This window comes from Homo sapiens, chromosome 1 (assembly GCF_000001405.40).
Source record: "Homo sapiens chromosome 1, GRCh38.p14 Primary Assembly".
Classification (NCBI taxonomy): domain Eukaryota; kingdom Metazoa; phylum Chordata; class Mammalia; order Primates; family Hominidae; genus Homo; species Homo sapiens.
In genome coordinates, this window is record NC_000001.11 from 31,315,666 (window position 1) to 31,336,072 (window position 20,407).

General features: G+C 40.7%; 1 protein-coding gene across 11 annotated transcripts in view; it reads left to right on the forward strand.

Moving 5' to 3' along the window:
* ZCCHC17 (zinc finger CCHC-type containing 17) overlaps nucleotides 1-20,407 on the forward strand; it is a 67,905-nt gene that overhangs the window by 18,634 nt on the left and 28,864 nt on the right. For 9 of the 11 annotated variants that reach the window (NM_001282568.2, NM_001282566.2, XM_047422508.1 and 6 more), the window contains one exon: nucleotides 3,444-3,501. In NM_001282568.2, the coding sequence (NP_001269497.1) occupies nucleotides 3,444-3,501 (58 nt within the window). Of the gene's footprint in view, nucleotides 1-2,501; nucleotides 2,572-3,443; nucleotides 3,502-20,407 lie in introns of all 11 variants that reach the window. The other 2 variants (NM_001282569.2, NM_001282573.2) reach the window with 1 other exon arrangement.

Below are 20,407 nucleotides of genomic sequence, written 5' to 3' on the forward strand. Positions count from 1 at the left end.
TTACATTATGGTGACAACAAGTTTCAAGGCCATTTGCCACCTATAATCTGAAGATGGGAAATTTACTTTACCCAAGCTCTAATGAATTCAGTTGAGATAGTTACTGAATTTTTTCCCCTGAGCTATTTGACTAATTATTCTTGGGACACCAGGCAGACTGCGTGATCATCTATGGCAGGTGTGATTGCACCCTAGGAGACACAGTGATGAAAACACCTGGTGCTAGAAATCTGAAACAATGCCTAAACAGTTGAGTGCATCCATTCTGGAGCATATTAACCTTTCCTTTTGGGAGAGGCCAAATTAAGGTCTATTATATTACCTCTAAAGACCATAATGTGACACTGGAGCTTCAGGATTGAAAAGTGAGATTGTCTTAATTTATAGCAGTGAGGTGAATTTGGCTCTAACTTCCAGATTTATTTATTTATTTATTCACTTATTTATTTATTTATTGACAGAATCTTGCTCTGTCACCCAGGCTGGAGTGCAGTAGCATGATCTTGGCTCACTGCAACCATGACCTCCTGTGTTCAAACGATTTTCGTGCCTCAGCTACCCAAGTAGCTGGGATTACAGGCATGTGCCGCCATGCCCAGCTAAATTTTGTATTTTTAGTAGAGATGGGGTTTCACCATGTTGGCCAGGCTGGTCTCGAACTCCTGGCCTCAAGTGATCCACCTGCCTCAGCCTCCCAAAGTGCTGGGATTATAGGTGTGAGCCACTGTGCCTGACCCAGATGCTACTTTTAAGTTTGTTGGATGATTATGTTCTTTAATAATGTTGTTACACAGTATGAGACTTTTCAGCCCTCTTTCTAGAACTGTGGAACAAAAGCCAAAGTGCCTTCAGTTGGTCCAGAAAGAAGCGATTTGCTTTTATTTCAATTAAAAATTGGGAGACTTATCTTTATTATGTGGCCCTCTTTTACAAAGAACAAATTGCTTTGTAAACTCAGGTAAGCACTTTTTATCTCTGATCTCTACGTTCCTCATTTGAAACATGGTAGAACTGGACCAGCTAATCTCTGAAGTCATTTCTTTGGCTCTACCTTGCCTTAATTTTAAGCATCTGTGTGATTGTACTGTTTCTTTGGGACTCTCTGGTTCCTAACCCAGCATAACATGTTCATTAGTATAAAACATGAGTTTAGAACTTTTGGTTCGTAACCCATTCTTCATGTTTTGTCTTGGAGAGTTAATTCAAGTGCTCCATCCGATGTCTCCATTAAAAAATGAGAATGAAAGTTTTTATCTATTTCCATCCTAACATTGAAGTGAGTAATGATGATATTTGGTTAAGTATAAGGCACTGGACTAGGGAGTCAAGGGACCGAGGTTCTATCCCTAACTTTTTTTCTTTTTTTTTTTTTTTTTTGAGATGAAGTATCGTTCTTGTTGCCCAGGCTGGAGTACAATGGCGCCATCTTGGCTCACTCAACCTCTGCTTCCCAGGTTCAAGTGATTTTTCTGTCTCAGCCTCCCGAGTAGCTGGGATTACAGACGCCCACCACCAGACCCAGCTAATTTTTGTATTTTTATTAGAGACAGGGTTTCACCATGTTGGCCAGGCTGGTCTCGAACTCCTGACCTCAGGTGATCCACCTGCCTCGCCCTTTCAAAGTGCTAGGATTACAGGCATGAGCCTCCGTGCCTGGCCTCCCTAACTCTCAAGTAGTTGTGTGCCTTCCTACCAGTCACTAATCTTTTTGTGCTTCAGTGTCTTAGACTGTAAATTATTGAAAAGCTACACTTTGTTGAATGTCCATTATGTGCTACATACCTATGTCAGTCACTTTATGTACATCATTTGTTATCTGCAGCAGCAAAGTGAGAACAAATGGGAACTTAGGCCCTGAAAGGCAAGTTGTGTGCAAGATCCTACAGGTGGGAAATGGCAGAGCTAGGATTAGAAGCCACATCTTTCACTCCAAAGCATGTTCACTTTCTATACCTATACTGTTATTTTTTTTTTTTAAAGCTTTTTTAGAGATGGGTCTTGCTATGTTATCCAGGCTGGATTCAACTCCTGGCCTCAGGCCACGCTCCAGCCTCAGCCTCTGGAGTAGCTAGGACTACAGGCACGTTGCACAGCACCCAGATACACCTATACTATTCCACTTCATTTGCAACATAAGGATCTACTGTATATGCTTTCTAGGATTGTTGCTAGGAATAGATAGGATATCAAATACCACATTGCTTTTGGCCATTAGAATTTTATAGTTAGAGGGGACCTATGAGCAGCTCTAGTGTAATTAAGACTCCGGATTCAAATCTCAGCTCTGCTACTTATTTAGCTTTGGACCTCCGATATGTTACTTAATCTCTTCATGCATCTTTTTGTCATCTATTGGATGGGAATAATAGTACCAACTCTGTACAGTGACATAAGGATTATGCAAAGCATTTTGAATATTATTTTGCATATAGTGAGTATTCAGTATATATTAGTAAATAGCAGTGCAGTCAGGATTGTTTTATTTACTCCCCTTGTTTTAGTTATGGTGAAGCTGAAACAGTGCTCAAGATGAAGCAGCTAATTGAAGACACTGAAAAGAATAAAGTTTATGTATGTAAGATTATATTGAATATTTTACAAATAATCATTTAGTGTTAAATTCAGCATATAGTGACAACATTACCCTCGATCCACAGGTTGGGGGATGGGGTAGGCTACAGGGGGAAGAGAGAGCTAGAGCCTAGGTTAATGATTTATCTGGCAAGGGTTCTGGGCCTTTCATCACTAACATTTATTGGTTGCCTATTACATAGACCCATCAAGCCTCTAACTTCATCTTAGACAACTCTGCAGAAGACTGAGGGGACAACTCTTTCTCTCTGATTAGATCTTTTCAGGTTCTGTCAGATGTGTATGTATTGGCTTTTTATCTAGTTGTCTTGATGAAACCCAAGACTCAGACTTGGAGTTAAATGTAACAGGCTGTATGCTCTGGTTTGATTTGAAGTTCAGGTATGAGGGGAGGAATGCCCTGTGTGATCCATCCCAAATTTATTAAAGTTCTCTGTATTGGGTTTGGAGGCCTCAGTCCTAGCTAATATAAAATATAACTTTATTACCTGGTTTTTTGCTTTTTGTTCCTTTTGTTCATGAAACTCCTCTGGTAATATCAATATGTTCCCTTTGTTCATGAAACTCTGTTGGTGATTTTACTAGGTATAGGATTTGGGTATTCCTCAGTATCATCACACCGTGTGATAACACTCTAATCTCCCAGTGTTTTTAATGTGTACACACATACCTGTCAGTCTAAATTTCAAAAAAAACCCAGAAAGAATGTTTGACAGAGCATCATTTTTAGGCAGTTTTATAGCATACAGAGGCAGTCAATATGAAGTACAGATTTGGGGAGACTAGGTTAAATGCTACAGAAGAAAGATTCTCATGTATGTGACATTGATTTTTTTCCCCCATCTTTATAGGTTGCTATGGTGACAGACTATGGGGCCTTTATCAAAATCCCAGGCTGTCGGAAGCAAGGTAGGAGTTTATAACTTGAAATTCAGCCCTCTGATTCTACTCTCTGCTAACACTCCACCACCTCCTAATTATAGGCTGTACATTTTTCAGACAGTAGTTTTTCATTCCTTTGTTTTCTTTTTAATGTATAGATATGAATACAAGATGACAGTTCATTTTTAGCGGGCAGAGAATTGTGGTCTCTGACTCAGGAGGAAGACTGGGGTATAGCTAACTGGGTTTACTTCTGAAACCAGCTCCTCCTTAGACTTCACCTGTGACCCTAGGCAAATCACTTGACTTCTTTAGACACAGGATTTGCGGGAGGGCAAGCTACCTCTGTCTGAGGCTGACAGTGTGAGTTTTCTAGTAGATAGCGCATGAAATGGGAATAGTATTGCAAGTGATACAAACATATATAATATATATAATGTTTTAAGTTTTTTTCATAAAGAGGCGTCTGTTGAACATTTTTTTGAGAATCCTGTTATAAATCTATAATCTTATTTATTTACCAAAACTATGTTAAGCCGAAAAGGCAGGTTCCACAGACCGGTTGTCTGCCCAGAGTGATTTGGCTAGGTAGTGGCATAGCCAAGACTAGAACCCAATCCTTCTGATTCCTAGCCCCTGGATCTTTCTACTATATCACACTGCTGGTGGATCCAAAGATTCAACTTGCTAACTTCTTATGCTAAAATAAGGTTTAATTAAAGATTTTAACATTTTAAAAAAAGGCAACCATAAGAATACTAGAAGAAAATCTAGAAGAATATTTCACTACATGAAAATTAAAAACTTCACTGCAAAAATCATTGTAATCAGAGTTAAGTTTGGAAAAAGAATTTGTAGTACATATGATAAAGAGCTAATACAAAGGGGGTATTAGGAAAAGGTGCCAAGGATATGAAAAACAACTCACAGGATAAAAAAATATTACTTGGTACTATAGTAAAAGATACTCATTCTCCGTATGACTAAAAAGTAACTTAGACTGGTAGATTCATATAATGGGATATTACTCAACAATACAAAGGAATGAGAATAAAATATTCATACATGCAACAACCTGGATCATCCCTCTCCAGAAATTATACTGAGTGAAAAAAGCTAATCTCAAAAGGTTATACACTTTATGATTCCATTTATATAACATTCTTATGTTTTACTTGAGATATGATTCACATACCACACATTTCACCTGCTTAAAGTGTACAATTCAGTGGTTTCTTTGGTATATTCAGAGTTTTGTGACCATCACCACGATCTACTTTGAGAACATTGTTGTCACCCCAAAAAGAAACCCTGTACCTATTAGCCATCACTCCAGATTCTCTCTATGCCCCCAGCTTTAGGCAATCATTATTCTACTTTGTCTCTGTATATTTGCTTATTTTGTACATTTCTTGTAAATGGAATAATGCAGTATATAGTCTTTTGTGACTGACTTCTTTCACTTAGCACGTTTTCAAGGTTCATCTGTTTTATAATATGTACTTAATTCTTTTTTATTGCCATTACAAATTTATTGCAGTTCCATCAGTTGATGGATATTTGGGTTGTTTCCACTTCTTTAGTATTATGAATAATGTTGCTATAAATATTTGTGTACAACTTTTTGTGTGGATATTTGCTTTCATTGGGTATATACCTGTGAGTGGAAATACTGGGTCATATGATAACTCCATGTTCAACTTTTTGAGAAACTGCCAAACTGTTTTTCCAAAGTGACCACGCCATTTTACATTCCTACCAGCAATGTATGAGGGTTCTATTTTCTTTACATCTTTGTTAACACTTGTTATTATCTTTCTGGGTATGGCCATCCTAATGGATGTGCACGGACATCTCATTGTGGTTTGAATTTCCCTAATAGCTAATGATGTTAAGTCTCTTTTCTTGGGTTTATTGGCCATTTGTATATCTTTTTTGGGGAAATGTCTATTCAAATCTGATATATTTTGGCTGTGTCCTCACCCAAATCTCATCTTGAATTGTAGTTCTCGTAATCCCCATGTGCTGTGGTAGGGACCAGGTGGAGATAATTGAATCATGGGGGTGGTTTGCCCCATCCTGTTCTCATCATAGTAACACAAGATCTGATGGTTTTATAAGGGGCTTCCCTTATAAAACCATCATTCGCTGGGCACTTATTCTCCTTCCTGCTGCCCTGTGAAGAAGGATGTGTTTGCTTCCCCTTTCCCCATGGTTGTTAAGTTTCTTGAGGCTTCCCCAGCCATGCTGAACTGTGAGTCAGTTAAATCTCTTTCCTTGGTAAATTACCCAGTCTCGTATGTCTTTATTAGCAGTGTAAGAACAGACTAATACAAAATCCTTTTCTTTTTTTGAGACAGAGTCTTGCTCTATTGCCCAGGCTAGAGTGCAATGGTGCAATCTTGGCTCACTGCAACCTCTGCCTCCTGAGTTCAAGTGATTTTCATGCCTCAGCTTCCTGAGTAGCTGGGATTACAGGCATGTGCCACCACACCCGGCTAATTTTTAGTAGAGGCAGGGTTTTGCCATGTTGGCCAGACTGGTCTTGAACTCCTGTCCTCCAGTAATCTGCCCTCCTCAGCCTCCCAGAGTGCTGGGATTAAAGGTGTGAGCCACCACACCTGCCTTTTCCCTTTTAAAAATAGGGTTATTTTTGTTTTTATTGTTGAGTTAGGTGTTTCTCATATATTCTGGATACTAGTCTCATATCAAATATATGATTTGCAAAGATTTTTATGTAACATACTTGAAATGACAAAGTTATTTAAATGGAGAACAAATTATTTAATGGTTCACAAGGATTAAGAAGGGGAAGGAAGTAGCAATATGAAGGATCCTTGTGGTGAGGGACCTGTTCTGTATCTTAACTGTGGCAGTGTATACATGAATCTACACATGTGGTAAAATTACGTGGAACTAAATACATACACATACAGAAACACAAATGAGTACAGGTAAAACTGGGGAAATCTGAACAAGAGCCAGTCGATTTTATCTGAGATGTTTTTCCCTACACCAACCAATTCTCCAGTTCTCTGATTCTCTAACATCAACTGGATGTCCCAACAATTCAATTCAATTCTGACACTAACTACCTGGGAATTAGTGTCAGATTCCACAAACTTAAGGGCTCAGTCCCACATGACTACCCTCACTTCAGATGCCAGCCCCAATATTGAATCCTCAGATTACCTACACTTTTGTCTCACTTGGCTACAATTTTTGGGATTCCCAGCACTTCCCCCCAAAGTTGGTAATTTGCTAGAGTGACTCACAGAACTCAGAAAAATGCTATAGTTACTATTAGTTTATTTTAAAGGATAAAAATGAGCAGTCAGATGAAGAAGTACACAGGGTGAGACCCAAAGTGTTCCGAGTACAAAGCCTCTGTCCCCATGGAGTTGGGGTGTGTCACCCTCTTGGCACATGGATGTGTTCACCAACTCTCCAAACTCCATTGCTTAGGGGTTTATATGGAGGATCTGTTATATAGACATGGTTGATTAAATTATTGGCCTTCAGTGATAGAGCTCAGTCTCCAGCCCCTCTCCCCTTCCCGGAAGTCAGAGGGTAGGGCTGAAATTTCTTTTTTTTTTTTTTGAGAGGGAATCTAGCTCTGTTGCCCAGGCTGGAGTACAGTGGTGCAATATCAGCTCACCGCAACCTCTGCCTTCCGGGTTCAAGCGTTTCTCCTGCCTCAGCCTCCTGAGTAGCTGGGACTACAGGTGTGCACCACCATGCCTGGCTAATTTTTGTATTTTTGGTAGAGACGGGGTTTCACTATGTTGGCTAGGATGGTCTCAAACTCCTTTCCTTGTGACCTGCCCGTCTTGGCCTCCCAAAGTGCTGGGATTACAGGTGTGAGCCACCATGCCCAGCCCAGGCTGAAATTTCTAACCCTATCTAATCACATCGTTGATTTCTCTGTTTCTGAAGCTATCTAGGGACCCACAGTAGTCACCTCATTAAGGGACTTAATGAATAACAAAAGACACTTCTATCACTCAGAATAGTCCAAGCGTTTTAGGAACTCTGCCAGGAACTAGGGACAAAGATCGAATATGTATTTCTTATACCACAGTATCAATGCCAGCATCCTGGTTGTGTTAGTGTACTATAGTTTTCCAAAATGTCACCATTGGAGAAAACTGGATAAAGTGTACATAAAACCTCTGTATTCTTTCTTTCTTTTTTTTTTTTGAGACGGAGTCTTGCTCTGTTGCCCAGGCTGGAGTGCAGTGGCACAATCTCGGCTTACTGCAAGCTCCACCTCCTGGGTTCACGCCATTCTCCTGTCTCAGCCTCCCAAGTAGCTGGGACTACAGGCACCCGCCACCATGCCTGGCTAATTTTTTGTATTTTTAGTAGAGTCAGGGTTTCACCGTGTTAGCCAGGATGGTCTCGATCTCCTGACCTCATGATCTGCCTGCCTCGGCCTCCCAAAGTGCTGGGATTCCAGGCGTGAGCCACCGAGCCCGGCCTAGACCTCTGTATTATTTCTTTTGAGTGCAGATGAATGTACAATTATCTCAAAAATTTTTTTTCACATAGGGCAGCAAAGTTATCAAATATTTTTAAAAAATGATTTAAAACACTCCTAAAATCTTTGAGATTAATAAATATTTTAAAAGATTGCTGTTAATACCCAGTGTTAGAAATGGATACTTTTACTCTCTATCAGGAGCATAATTTCACAGACTTTGGCAATGCCTATTAACATCTTTTATGTGCTTATTACCCTTTAATCCAGAAATTCTTTGAAGAATTTAGTGTAAGTAGAGAATTACATAAATTATGTGCATCTGTTTTGTAGACTATGCAGATGATTGAAAGAATGACTGTATTTCTAAGACATAATTATGCCTCATCTTACCAGAAAGATGCCATGGAAGGTTTTCATACAATTCCATCACACTGCTACCTGACTGATAACAGTTGTAAAACATCATTGATTATGAGAAGCACTCCAATTTCAGAGAGATTAAAGTGAGAGGAAAAGAAAGTGCATCTTAGAATCAATGAAACACAATAAATGTCAGTTTACTGACATGAGCCAGGAGTGGTGGCATGCACCTGTAATTCCAGCTACTTGGGAGGCTGAAGTAGTAAGATCACTTGAGGCCAAGAGTTCGGGGCCAGGCTGGGCAACATAGCAAGACCCCACTGATGGCGATGGAGGCCTGTCTAGAGTGGCTGCTGCAAAGATGCCAGCCATAGTGGGGGCTGTGCGGCCAGGGCTGCATGTTCTATGGAGCTGGCAGGAGCCCTGCCCCCTTATGAGTTAGTGGGGTGGGAGCCCACCCTCATGGGTGCAGCTGCCGCCACCCAGCCCTGGCTGCAGACCCAGGCATCCCTGCACTCTTGGAGGTCCGGGAAGACCCCTTTCCCCCATAGTCTCAGAAGTGCCTGCTCCCACTGCCTGGACTCTCCAAGCTCCCGGCTCCTGCTCTGATTTTGGAGCAAAGTCGAAGCTGAGCCTGGGCACTATTGCAACCTGGCTGGGTTTGCACACCTTGGGGTGGTGCTGCCATGCCAGCTTCCTACCATCTTGGCCCCCTCTGGACTTTGGGTGCCAGTGAGCACAGGAGGGAGGCCAAAGGGGTGCTGAGGGTGGCTCAGCATGGGCCTGCAGGTGCCCCTGGGCACAGAACAACTGGGCGTCATGGACAACATGATTGATGGTGACAAGAGGCAGACAGGCTCCTGGGTGGAAAGGGGCAGGTCTCGGTGAAGCCGCACCTTCAAGCCAGGGATGGCCTAAAGCATAGGGGCCAGGCTGTCAGTTCCAGGTGGAGTCTGTGGCCCAGAGTGAGAACTTAAGGTGCTTTTCCTGGGCCTGCCCATGGACCAGTCAGCACACACTTCTGAAGACTGTAAAAATCCTGGACTCAGCCAGACTTGGGCAGACACTGGGAGGACTTGCCTGTGGAAATGGGTTACCCACACTGGGTCTCCTCTCCGTCAAGGGCTGCAGATGTTGGGATGACCTGCCTGCAGATAAGAGCTGCCCATTCTGGGTCTCCTCTCTGCTAAGAGCTGCACTCAACAGGTTGACCTGCCTGTGGAAAGGAGCTACCTACTTTGGGTCTCCTGAGAGCTGTACCATCACTCAATAAAGCAACTCTTTGCCTTGCTTACCCTCCAGTTGTCTGCTTACCTCATTCTTCCTGGATGCAAGACAAGAACTTGGGACCCGTTGAATGGCGGGACTGAAAGAGCTGTAACAGATCCAAGGGCTCCCTGAGCCAGAGCTGTGACACCTCTTTGGGGCTTTATGGTTCCTGGCCTCTCCAAGCTTCTGGGCACCACCATGTTCCCCAGAGTCCACAGTGGAAGCCGCTTGTGGTATGCCTGGTCCATCCACAGCCTCACATGGAGCTGGTGCCTGTGCCAGCACCTGGAGCTGCCTGCCCAGCCACAGCAGCCAGTGTGCCTGGCTGTGCACAGTGGCTGGACCCCATGCTCACTCACTCATGCATCCCTCGCCACTCCGAGCCTGGCTCGCCCTTGGCAGGTGTGGGATCTGGGACGGCAGCATGAGCCAAGCGCAGCCCATTAGACCAAGTGGATGGAACAGGCCTAGTGGCCCCAAGCAAAGCTGAATGCAGCCTGCCAGGCCAAGTGGGCAGAACGAGCCCAGCAGGTCCAAGCAAAACTCGGGCAAAGGTGCTGCTGGCCACAGCAGCTTCTGGCTGGAAAAGTGACACCTGAAGAATCTTGTGACACCATCTTTACAAAAAGTTAGCTGGGTGTGGTGGCAGAAGGATCACTTGGGCCCAGAAGTTAGAGGCTGCAGTGAGCTATGATTGTGCCACCGCACCCCAGCCTGGGTAAGAGTAAGACCCTGTCCCTTAAAAAAAAAAAAAAAGAAAAAACTAACATGGAAAGAAGTCTAAGATAATAAAATTTAAAAACATGTTGCAGAAGACTTTGTATAGCATCTCTCTTCCCCTTTTAAAGCAAGTGTGCATATGCCTTTAATATCTTTTTTCTTTATATAGTTTAAATTACTGCCTATGTTTAGAAGAAAGGCTGGAGGAATATTCAACAGATTAACAATGGTCACTTCTGGGGAGTTGGTTTTGCTAAGGAAGGGATGTACATGGAAGAGGGACTTTGACTTCTGGAAATTTTTTTTAAGTTTTTTCTGTTAAAAAAAAAATCCAAGAGGTGATCTTTGGATAATAAATCCATGCCTCTAACCTTGTAGACTACTATTCTGCAAATTGCATCTTTGCTTAAGAAATGGTTTACCAGCAGTTTTCAAGCTGGCAGTCAGCAGTCTGTAATTAAGTTTCTCATTTTATGTTGTCTGGAATTTAATGACATCGAACTCTTCCCCACCCCACAGGACATTCATCTCTTTCTGTCTGAGCACAGGTTTTCTTGTTAGTATAGTTGCCATAGCTGCCAGTGCCTGAAAGTCCCATTCTAATTTGGGCATATGTGACACTTTGGGGACTGTGTGGGATTAAAGGCCTGTGACCTTCCAGCAGTCAATCTTCAACTCATTTTATCCATACCCTGTCAGGTGATGCCTCTGATTGTGGCTGACAGCTTACAAGTGAATCTGTCAGTCTGACAGCTGGGCTGAGGCAAGCCTCAGAGGGAGAGCTCAGGGAGCCAAATAATTAGGTGGAAACTCTGTGAGTTTTAATCCTGAGATCTATAGGTTTATTGGATAACTTGAGCAATTGACTTCCTTACAGTGTATCTTAGTTTCTCTGCCCATAAAGAGGGAAGATTATTAAGTCTCAGCCTGAAAGGACTGAGTTAGAAAATAACTCTGGTCTGATCAGGTCTTAACATCTTTGGCTCAGGTAGGTAGATTCTAATTTGAGCTGGTTTCCCAGATGTCATGTTCTCAGAATACTTCAGCCAACACTGAGTTGAAGACCCCTTCCTACTATTCAAACCTAAGCTAGATTTTCTTTCCCCTCTCATAGTATTATCCAATATAACTTTCTGTGATGATGAAAATATTCCTTATGTTCTCTGATTTGTTTCCTGACACCAACCAACTCCCCAATTCTCTGGACACCAACTGGGTGTCCAGTGACTCAGTTCAATTCTGACATTATTTATCTGGAGCTTGTGTTAGATCTCACAAATTTAAGGGACTCAGTCCCACAAAATTTCCCCCATTTCAGATGCCAGCTGCAAGTCCTGGGCCACTTGTACTTCTGACCAATCAGCTGTAAACAGGGGTTCCATGACCACCTACTTAGGTTTGAGACTTTGCCAGAATGGCTTACAGAAGTCAGGAAAACACTTTACAGTAGTCCCCACTCATCTGTGCCTTTACTTTCCACGGTTTCAGTTACCCTAGGTCAACTGAGGTTTGAAAATATTAAAGGGAAAATTCTAGAAACAATTCATAAGCTTTAAGTTGCAGTTGCAGTGTGATGAAATCTTGTGCTGTCTTGCCACATTCCATCTGGGACTTGAATCATCCCTTTGTCCATCCACACTGTGTACGCTACCCACCCATTAGTCCCTTAGTAGCCTTCTCAGTGATCAGATCGACTGCTGTTGCAGTGCTTGTGTTCCAAGTAACCCTTATTTTACTTAATGGCCCCAAAGTGTAATACTAATGCTGGCAATTTTGATATGCCAGAGAGAAGCCATAAAGGGCTTCCTTTAAGTCAAAAGGTAAAAGTTCTCAACTTAATAAGGGAAAAACAGGGACCCCTAGAGGGGGGACTGAGGAAGGGGGAGAATGGTTGAAAAATTTAACTTTGAGTACTATGCTGAGTACTACTGTAATGGGATGATTAATATCCCAAACCTCAGCATCATGCAGTGTACACAGATAACAAACTTGAACATATGTACCCCCGGAATCTAAAATAAAGGTTAAAAACAAATTAAGGAAAGAAAACGTAATCCTGTCCTGTGGTTGCTAAGATCTACCCTAAGAATGAATCTTCTGTGTGTGAAATTGTGAAGAAGGAAAAATTCATACTAGTTTTGCTGTCGAATTTCTAACTGCAAAAGTTACAGCAACAGTGTGTGATAACTGTTCTTACAGTATGTTGTTATGTTATTATTGTTAATCTATTTCTGTGCTTAATTTATAAATTAAGCTTCACAGCCAGGCATGGTGGCTCACACATGTAATTTCAGCACTTTGGGAGGCGAGGTAGGTGGATCGCTTGAGCTCAGGAGTTTGAGACCAGCCTGGGTAACATGGTGAAACCCCATCTCCACAGAAATACAAAAATTTACTGGTCATGGTGGTGTGTGCCTGTAGTCCAAGCTACTTGAGGGGGCTGAGGGGGTTGTTTGAGCCTGGGAGGCAGAGGTTGCAGTGAGCCGAGATCATGCCACTGCACTCCAGCCTGGGTGACAGAACAAGACCCTGTCTCAAAAATAAATAAATAAATAAATAAAAATTAAACTTTATCTTAGGTGTGTATGTATAGGAAAAACATAGTATGTATAGGATTCAGTACTATTCTTTGCCAGTTTATTATAAAGGATACAACTTAGGAACAGCCAAATAATTGAAGAGATACATGGGGTAGGGTATGGCTGGAGTGGAGTGGGATCGGGTAAGGTGTGGTGGGGAGCTTTCATGCTCTCTGGTATGCCACCCTCCCAGCACTAGGATGTGTTTGCCAACCCAGAAACTACAAATCTCATGTATGGGAGTTTTTATAGAGCTCAGTCTCTAGCTCCCAACCCTCCTCTTTCTTCCTAGAAGTAGGAGATTGGTGGGTGGGATTGAAAATTCCAGTCCTCTAAGCCAGCATGGTGGTGAGCACCTGTAGTTCCAGCTACTTGGGAGACTGAGACAGGGGGATCAGTTGAGCCGTCCAGGAGTTTGAGTCCAGCCTGGGCAATATGGCAAGATCCTGTCTCAAAATAGAAAAAGTTCCAGCCCTCTGATCGCTTGGTCTTTCTGGTGACTAGTCCATCCTGAGGCTATCTAGGGATCCCACTCTGTCACCTCATTAAAATAAACTCAGGTATAATCAAAAGGGGCTTACTATGAATAACAGAATACACTCCTATCACTTAATAAATCCCAGGAGTTTTAGAAGTTCTTTGACAGGAAAATGAACAAATGTATTTTTGTATTATACTACATCTGTGCTGATACATGACTTTTTCATTTTATTTATTTCAACTAATTGAAATTGAAACTTAAAACAGCTACATGACTAGTGACTATCTATTAGGCAGTGCAACCCTATACAATTATAAAGTTCTTTTTTTTTTCCTACTGTCTTCTGCCATCCAGCACTAAACTATGAAATTTTGAGAACAGATTTTTCAACATTATACTTTCAGAGTTTCTTGCTTATGATAGAAGCTCAAATATATTTAGCAGTGGATTCAGTTTAGCAAATAATTATTGAGTTCTATTTTCTGATTAGCTTTTTTGGTGGGAACACAGAGGTAAGAGAAACATAATCCCTTGCTGCCCTCAGATTGCTTACAGTCTAGTGATGTAAACAAATTAGAGTGGCGTGTAATAAAAATGAGTGTTGTTGCACTTAGTCCATGGAATTGTGGAACGGTTAGGCTGTTTGGATGAGTCAGGGCATAGTACAATACTTGAGGTATAGTGGGTGGGTGTTCAGTAAATCTCACTGAATGAATGAATGAATTATAGCCTCAGTTCTACCATTAACTGGCTTCTTGGCAAGTCTCCTAGTCTTTGAGCCTTAATTTCCTTATCCCTGAAATGGGAATGATGTGCATATTTTAGGGTCTTGAGTTTTTTTGACTGGGAGGACCATGTTTCATTAACGCTTGGATATATTTTTGCCTATAATATAGTTTAAGCGTTTAGTAAATGTTTTAGTGAATCCTTAATCCCAACAAGAATAAAGGGTGTTAAAACACTTTCACGAATGTGCTTATATTATTGTCATATACCATTGATTGGGAGATGAATTGACTTAAACTGTGGAGAGGGAATTAAGATTACCCAAGGGTAACAGTGACCTTTTGTTTTGACATTTTTTTGGCTGCAGCTGTCCTCTAATGATTTGAGATTTTCACTTCTTTCCTTTATTGCCAGTGGAAGTTGTGGAAGAAATTAATGTTGAACCTAACGCAGTTGGGGTAACGGTTTTAAGGGGACTATAATGGGCTCACTCTGTTACTCTCATGTGGTGATTGAGGAGCTAGCCCTTTCCAAGTTGTCAGGTTTCGTTTTTTTCCTGTTTTTACCAGCAGACACTCAGATGGGACTAATTCTGTTTAAGTGTCATGTTGGGTTTATTGAACTTGATGATGGACTTGATATGCCTCTTGGGCATTTATTTATGGCTTGATGTCAGAAATCCATGCACAGGTTGCTCTGAAGAGCTCCCTTTGGTGTAGCGTGGGAAGCAAAGCATTTTTGTTTGTTTGTTTCTGTTTGATTTTGGAGCATATGCTAGAACAGAATTAGATGTACTTTCCTCTATTTGTAGGTAAGTTCATCTTTCTCCTTTTTTTAATTGTAAGGATAATATAGATTAATAATAAAAATGGGGAAAATATTGGTATGATGTAGGAGACCTGATAAACTCATATTTGAATTGCACTTCTGTTATTTATCAGCCTTGTGATCCTGGATAATTTATATGATTTCTAGATGATTTTTTCCCATGAACCTTTGTCAAAGAGGATTAAATGAATGGATGGATGTAGTATATATAGTGAGGTACTCAGCACAAAGGGAAGGGGCCTCAAATATTTTATATGGTGTCCTCTACTGCATACACGTCATCTGACTTTTGGTGGTGTGTCCATGTTAACAATGAAGTCTCTCCCAAGAATTCAGACTGCTTTCTGAGAATGAATCTAGTCATGAATCCCTCCCATACAGAGTATAGTTTCAGCCATAGATAGAAATAAACCAGGTAATTGCCTATAAAACAGACTGAAGAGATGGGAGCACTCAAGATGCAAACAAGATAATCTGGGTGTAATTCCAGGGAAAAGGGATTGGAATGAAATTGTAATTTAGGAGACTGAAATCTAGTTGATTGTATCATAATATTCTTTTTTTTTTTTCTCTTGAGACGGAGTCTTGCTCTGTCGCCCTGGCTGGAGTGCATTTGCATGATTATCAGCTCACTGCAACCTCCATCTCCGGTTCAAGTGATTCCTGTGCCTCAGCCTCCCTAGTAGTTGGGACTACAGGCAAGTGCCACCATGCCTGGCTAATTTTTGTATTTTTTTTTTAGTAGAGACGGGGTTTCACCATGTTGGTCAGGCTGGTCTAGAACTCCTGACTTCAAGTGATCCGCCCACCTCAGCCTCCCAAAGTGCTGGGATTACAGGCGTGAGCCAGCGTGCCCGTCCTGTATCATAATATTCTACCGAGGGAGAGATTATGGGAACAAGCAGGGGGTTGTCAGCTTAAAACATGGTAAACATAGTAAAAGACAGGCTGAGTGCTTGAAGTTGGCAGAGTTTATCTTGCCTTATTTATGGCAGAAATGAATCTAATGATAGGAACTGTAGAGATGGATTTTTTTTTTTTCTTTGAGATGGAGTCTCGCTCTGTTGCCGGGCTGGAATGCAATGGCTCGATCTCGGGTCACTGCAACCTCTGCCTCCCAGGTTCAGGCAATTCTCCTGCCTTAGCCTCCCGAATAGCTGGGACTACAGGTGTGCGCCACCATGCCCAACTAATTTTTGTATTTTTAGTAGAGATGGGGTTTCACCATGTTGGGCAGGATGCTCTCGATCTCTTGACCTCCTGATCCGCCTGCCTCAGCCTCCCAAAGTGCTGGGATTACAAGCGTAAGCCACCATGCCCGGCCGAGATGGATTTTTTTATGAGGAAGTGATAGTACACTAAACCTTCATGGACAAAAAAAGTATCTCAAAATAGTTGTCTCCCTTTTGTTCTGATTCCATGTGGAAGCAATTTCTGATCACTAATGATCACTAATGTAATTGTTCAGGTATTTAATCTGAAGGCAGCAGCTAGTTTACCTAGATGAGGACTGAGAACCTTCCAGGTATAAGGAAAGTATATCTTGTATTGTAAATTAATAAACTGGTGTGTGTCTCTCTCTGAACCAGTCACTAAACTGACAGTCTGGTTAATGTATTTTAGTATATAAGCATCTGCATGCTAAAGACTCCTGCACTTATATCTACAGTTCATACCCTTCCCCTGAGCTACAGACTTGGATATGCAACTGCCTACCTGACATTTGCATTCAAGATCGAGGGCGAGGGCTAGACTGTGTCTTTTGTTTAATTCACTGCATAAGCTAAGGCCTTTTGGTAATAAGCCATTAATGTCTCAACTTTAATAATCCTGTACCCCGTTATAACTATTTTTATGTTTCCTTTTGGTCTATGTCCATATGAGGCATAGTTTCACATTATTTCATAGTGTATATATTATTTAATTATAAAAATATATAAATTTTTATGATTGGAAATAATGCATGCTCATCATAGAAAAATAGAGGGAAAAACACACAATGGAAAATGATCATTATGTGCTATTACTACCATACAGAGATAGGCACTGTTAACATTTTGGTGTATTTCTTTTTTTTTTGAGATGGAGTCTTGCTTTGTCACCAGGCTGGAGTGTAGTGGCATGATCCTGGGTTCAGGCAATTCTCCTGCCTTAGCTTCCCAAGTAGCTGAGACTACAGGTGCCTGCCACCACACCTGGCTAATTTTTGTATTTTTAGTAGAGATGGAGTTTCACCATGTTGGCCAGGCTGGTCTTGAACTCCTGACCTCAAGTGATCCACCCGGCTCAGCCTCCGAAGGTGCTGGGATCACAAGCATGAGCCACCGCGCTTGGCCAACATTTTGGTGTATTTCTGTATATTCACATATGTGTACACAATTTAATATGTTGAGATTAAGATTATACTGTATATTTAAAATGTGTAGTTTTTTGCACGTAATGGACCTTAAACATTTCCCCATTAAAAAAATATTTTCTATAAACATTTAATGGCTTTATTCTGTCATTCAGATGTACCACATAATCATTTTAAGTTGTTTCCAGTTTTTCACTGCTAACGCTTCTAGACTGGTCATGTTTATCCAGGAGAGAGCTACCTGTACCAAAAATAAAATAAAATAAGTACAATAAAATAATAAAATAGAATTTAAAAAAATGCCGGGTGCAGTGGCTCACACCTGTAATCCCAGCACTTTGGGAGGCCAGGGCGGGTGGATCAAGAGATCAGGAGTTCAAGACCAGCCTGGCCAACATAGTGAAACCCTGTCTCTACTAAAAATACAAAAAATTAGCCGGGCGTGGTGGCAGGCACCTGTAATCGCAGCTACTCGGGAGGCTGAGGCAGGAGAATCACTTGAACCCAGGAGGTGGAGGTTGCAGTGAGCAGAGATTGTGCCACTGCACTCCAGCCTGGGTGACAGAGTGAGACTCCATCTCAAAAAAATAAAAAATAAAATACATATGTGTGTGTGTATGTGTGTGTATATATATAGTTTACTCTCACTGACTCTTAGATATACTCTAAAGACCCATGGAAATTCAGTTGTAGCATAAAATAAATACATTTATAGCGTAAAAGAGCAAAATATTTCAAATTAACTTGCTTAAGCTACTTAAAGACAAAAAAAGTTCATTTGAAATCTTTTGTCATTTTTTCACTGGTTATATGGAATCAGGTGAGAGAAGGACAAGTTTTGATGCCATTATTTCTATGTGGTACTCCAGTAAATAGACTTTCTGTTTTAGGGAAGAAGAATAGTGTTCCCTCAAGTATATTAGGTTCAACATTAATTTCCATCATAACTTTCATTAGCAATAGAGGAAAGAGATGAATTTTAACCAGTAGAGGACAGTTGCAGCCAAAAACAAGTCAAGATGAAGGGCTTCCCCTTTATGGGATCTGAATTTCCTCTTCAAACTTTAAAATTAGGCTAGTTGGCTCATTACATCATAGGGGAAAAAAATAAACCCCATTTGCATGAATTTCACCAAATTTGGAGATTGTGTGTTGATCTAAAATTAAAAACATAATGTATATAAAACATTTTAGAGGCCCCAGAGTTGTTTAGATAGGTAGGCTATCAACCTCCAGAATCAGCTTATGTAGGTATGTGGGATGTAGTGATGATGGATAGAGAAAGTAGTGGCTCCCAGTAGGAGCTCTAAACAGAAAGGGCAGGTATTTTGAGTTTCAGGCATCTGCAGGCATCCATGTGCATCTCTCTCTCTCTCTCTCTCTCTCTCTCTCTCTCTGTGTGTGTGTGTGTGTGTGTGTGTGTGTGTGTGTGTGTGTGTGTGTGTGTGAAAGAGAGAGTGGGAGAATGAGAATAGAGGTGGATAAATTTCCCAAGCAACTTCAGGGAGGGCAGTTATTTTAGACAGGATGACTGATTTTTATTCATTCAGAGTAATTATTTATGTTCATTTTCTCCAGAATTGAAGTAATCCTCTATTATTATTTATTATCGAAAATAAATGAAAAGGTTAACTTGTAATACTATAACCACTGTTGGCATTTCAAGTCATTTCTTTCTAATTTTTAAAATGTTTTTAAAGCATTTGTAATCATACTGTATAATTTTGCATTATGCTTTTGTTATTTAGTATGGGAAAATGCTAGATACCTACAGTACTTGATACATAATAGGCACTCAATAACTATTTACTAAAGAAGGAATTATTGACTTGTTTAAAAATCTTTTGAATGGACCATCAAGCGACTATACCATAATTGACCTAATTGTTATCCTTTGTTGTTTCTAAATTTTCCTGTCTTAAAAATACATTGAATATTTTGATGTAAATCACTTTTCCTGAAGCATATAGTTTTTCCTATGTATAAAGTTATTTTCTTAGGACAGGTTCCCAGAAGCAATTAGGGGTCAAATAAAGTATTAGAACTCTTGGTTGCAAGGGGCAGAAACTTAATTGGGAAACATTTTGGCCAATCTTGTCAGGGGCTTCCAGGATAACTCTCAGTTATGTTTCTCAGTTATGTTTCTGCCCCTTGTCTCTTTCCTCTATTGCTGGGACTTCAGCCTTTGCTGTATTGGGTGCTCAGTTTATACTCCCAGGGCTTTGCTTCTTGTTTACCAGTGCTCTTCTTTGCTTTTCTCTGGCAGACTCTTGCCATCTGGTGGTAAAGATTGGCTTTGGCAATTTTTTGTAGTTTACAATCCTGATTTGTATATGTAAAATGTAATAAGCAAGGTGGTTCTCCCAAGGAAAGGATTTTGGACAGACAGGAAAAGGATGTTTGCTATAAGTGTTTTATTAAATGTTATTAAAATATTATTTGATTTATTTTTGAGACAAAGTCTCGCTCTGTCACCTAGGCTGGAGTGCAGTGGTGCCATCACAGCTTACTGTAGCCTTGACTTCCTGGGCTCAAGCCATCCTCCCACCTCAGCCTCCTGAGTATCTAGGACTACAAGCATGCACCACCACATCCTATTAATTTTTCTGTAATTTTTCTAGAGATGGGGTCTCACTGTATTGCCCAGGCTAGTCTTGAATACCTGGGCTCAAGCAGTCCTCCCAAAGTGCTGGGATTACAGGCCTGAGCTTCCATGCCCAGCAATTATTTCATTTTAAATTATTTTTATTAAATGTGTAATAGTTTATTAGTATTTTATCATTCTTGATAGCCATTGATAGTGACTTCCAAAAGTTTATTCTAGCCTTAGTAATAGTTCTTATTTTACTATCCTTTCACCACATTGAATATTATTTTCTAAATACTTTGCTAATTTAATGGATTAAAAATAGTAGCTTGTTTATATTTCCTTTTTTAACTTAACGTCTATCATAAATATTTTTTGTAATTAATTTAAATGGCTGTTTACTTTTTTATTCCACAGATTTACTATGTTTGCCATGCTGTTTTCCAGTTATTGTTCATTAGGGTTGTTTTATGGTTCTTATATATTTTTTAACCTCTGTAGGTAATAATACCGCAAGTTATTTATGTATTTATGTATGTATGTA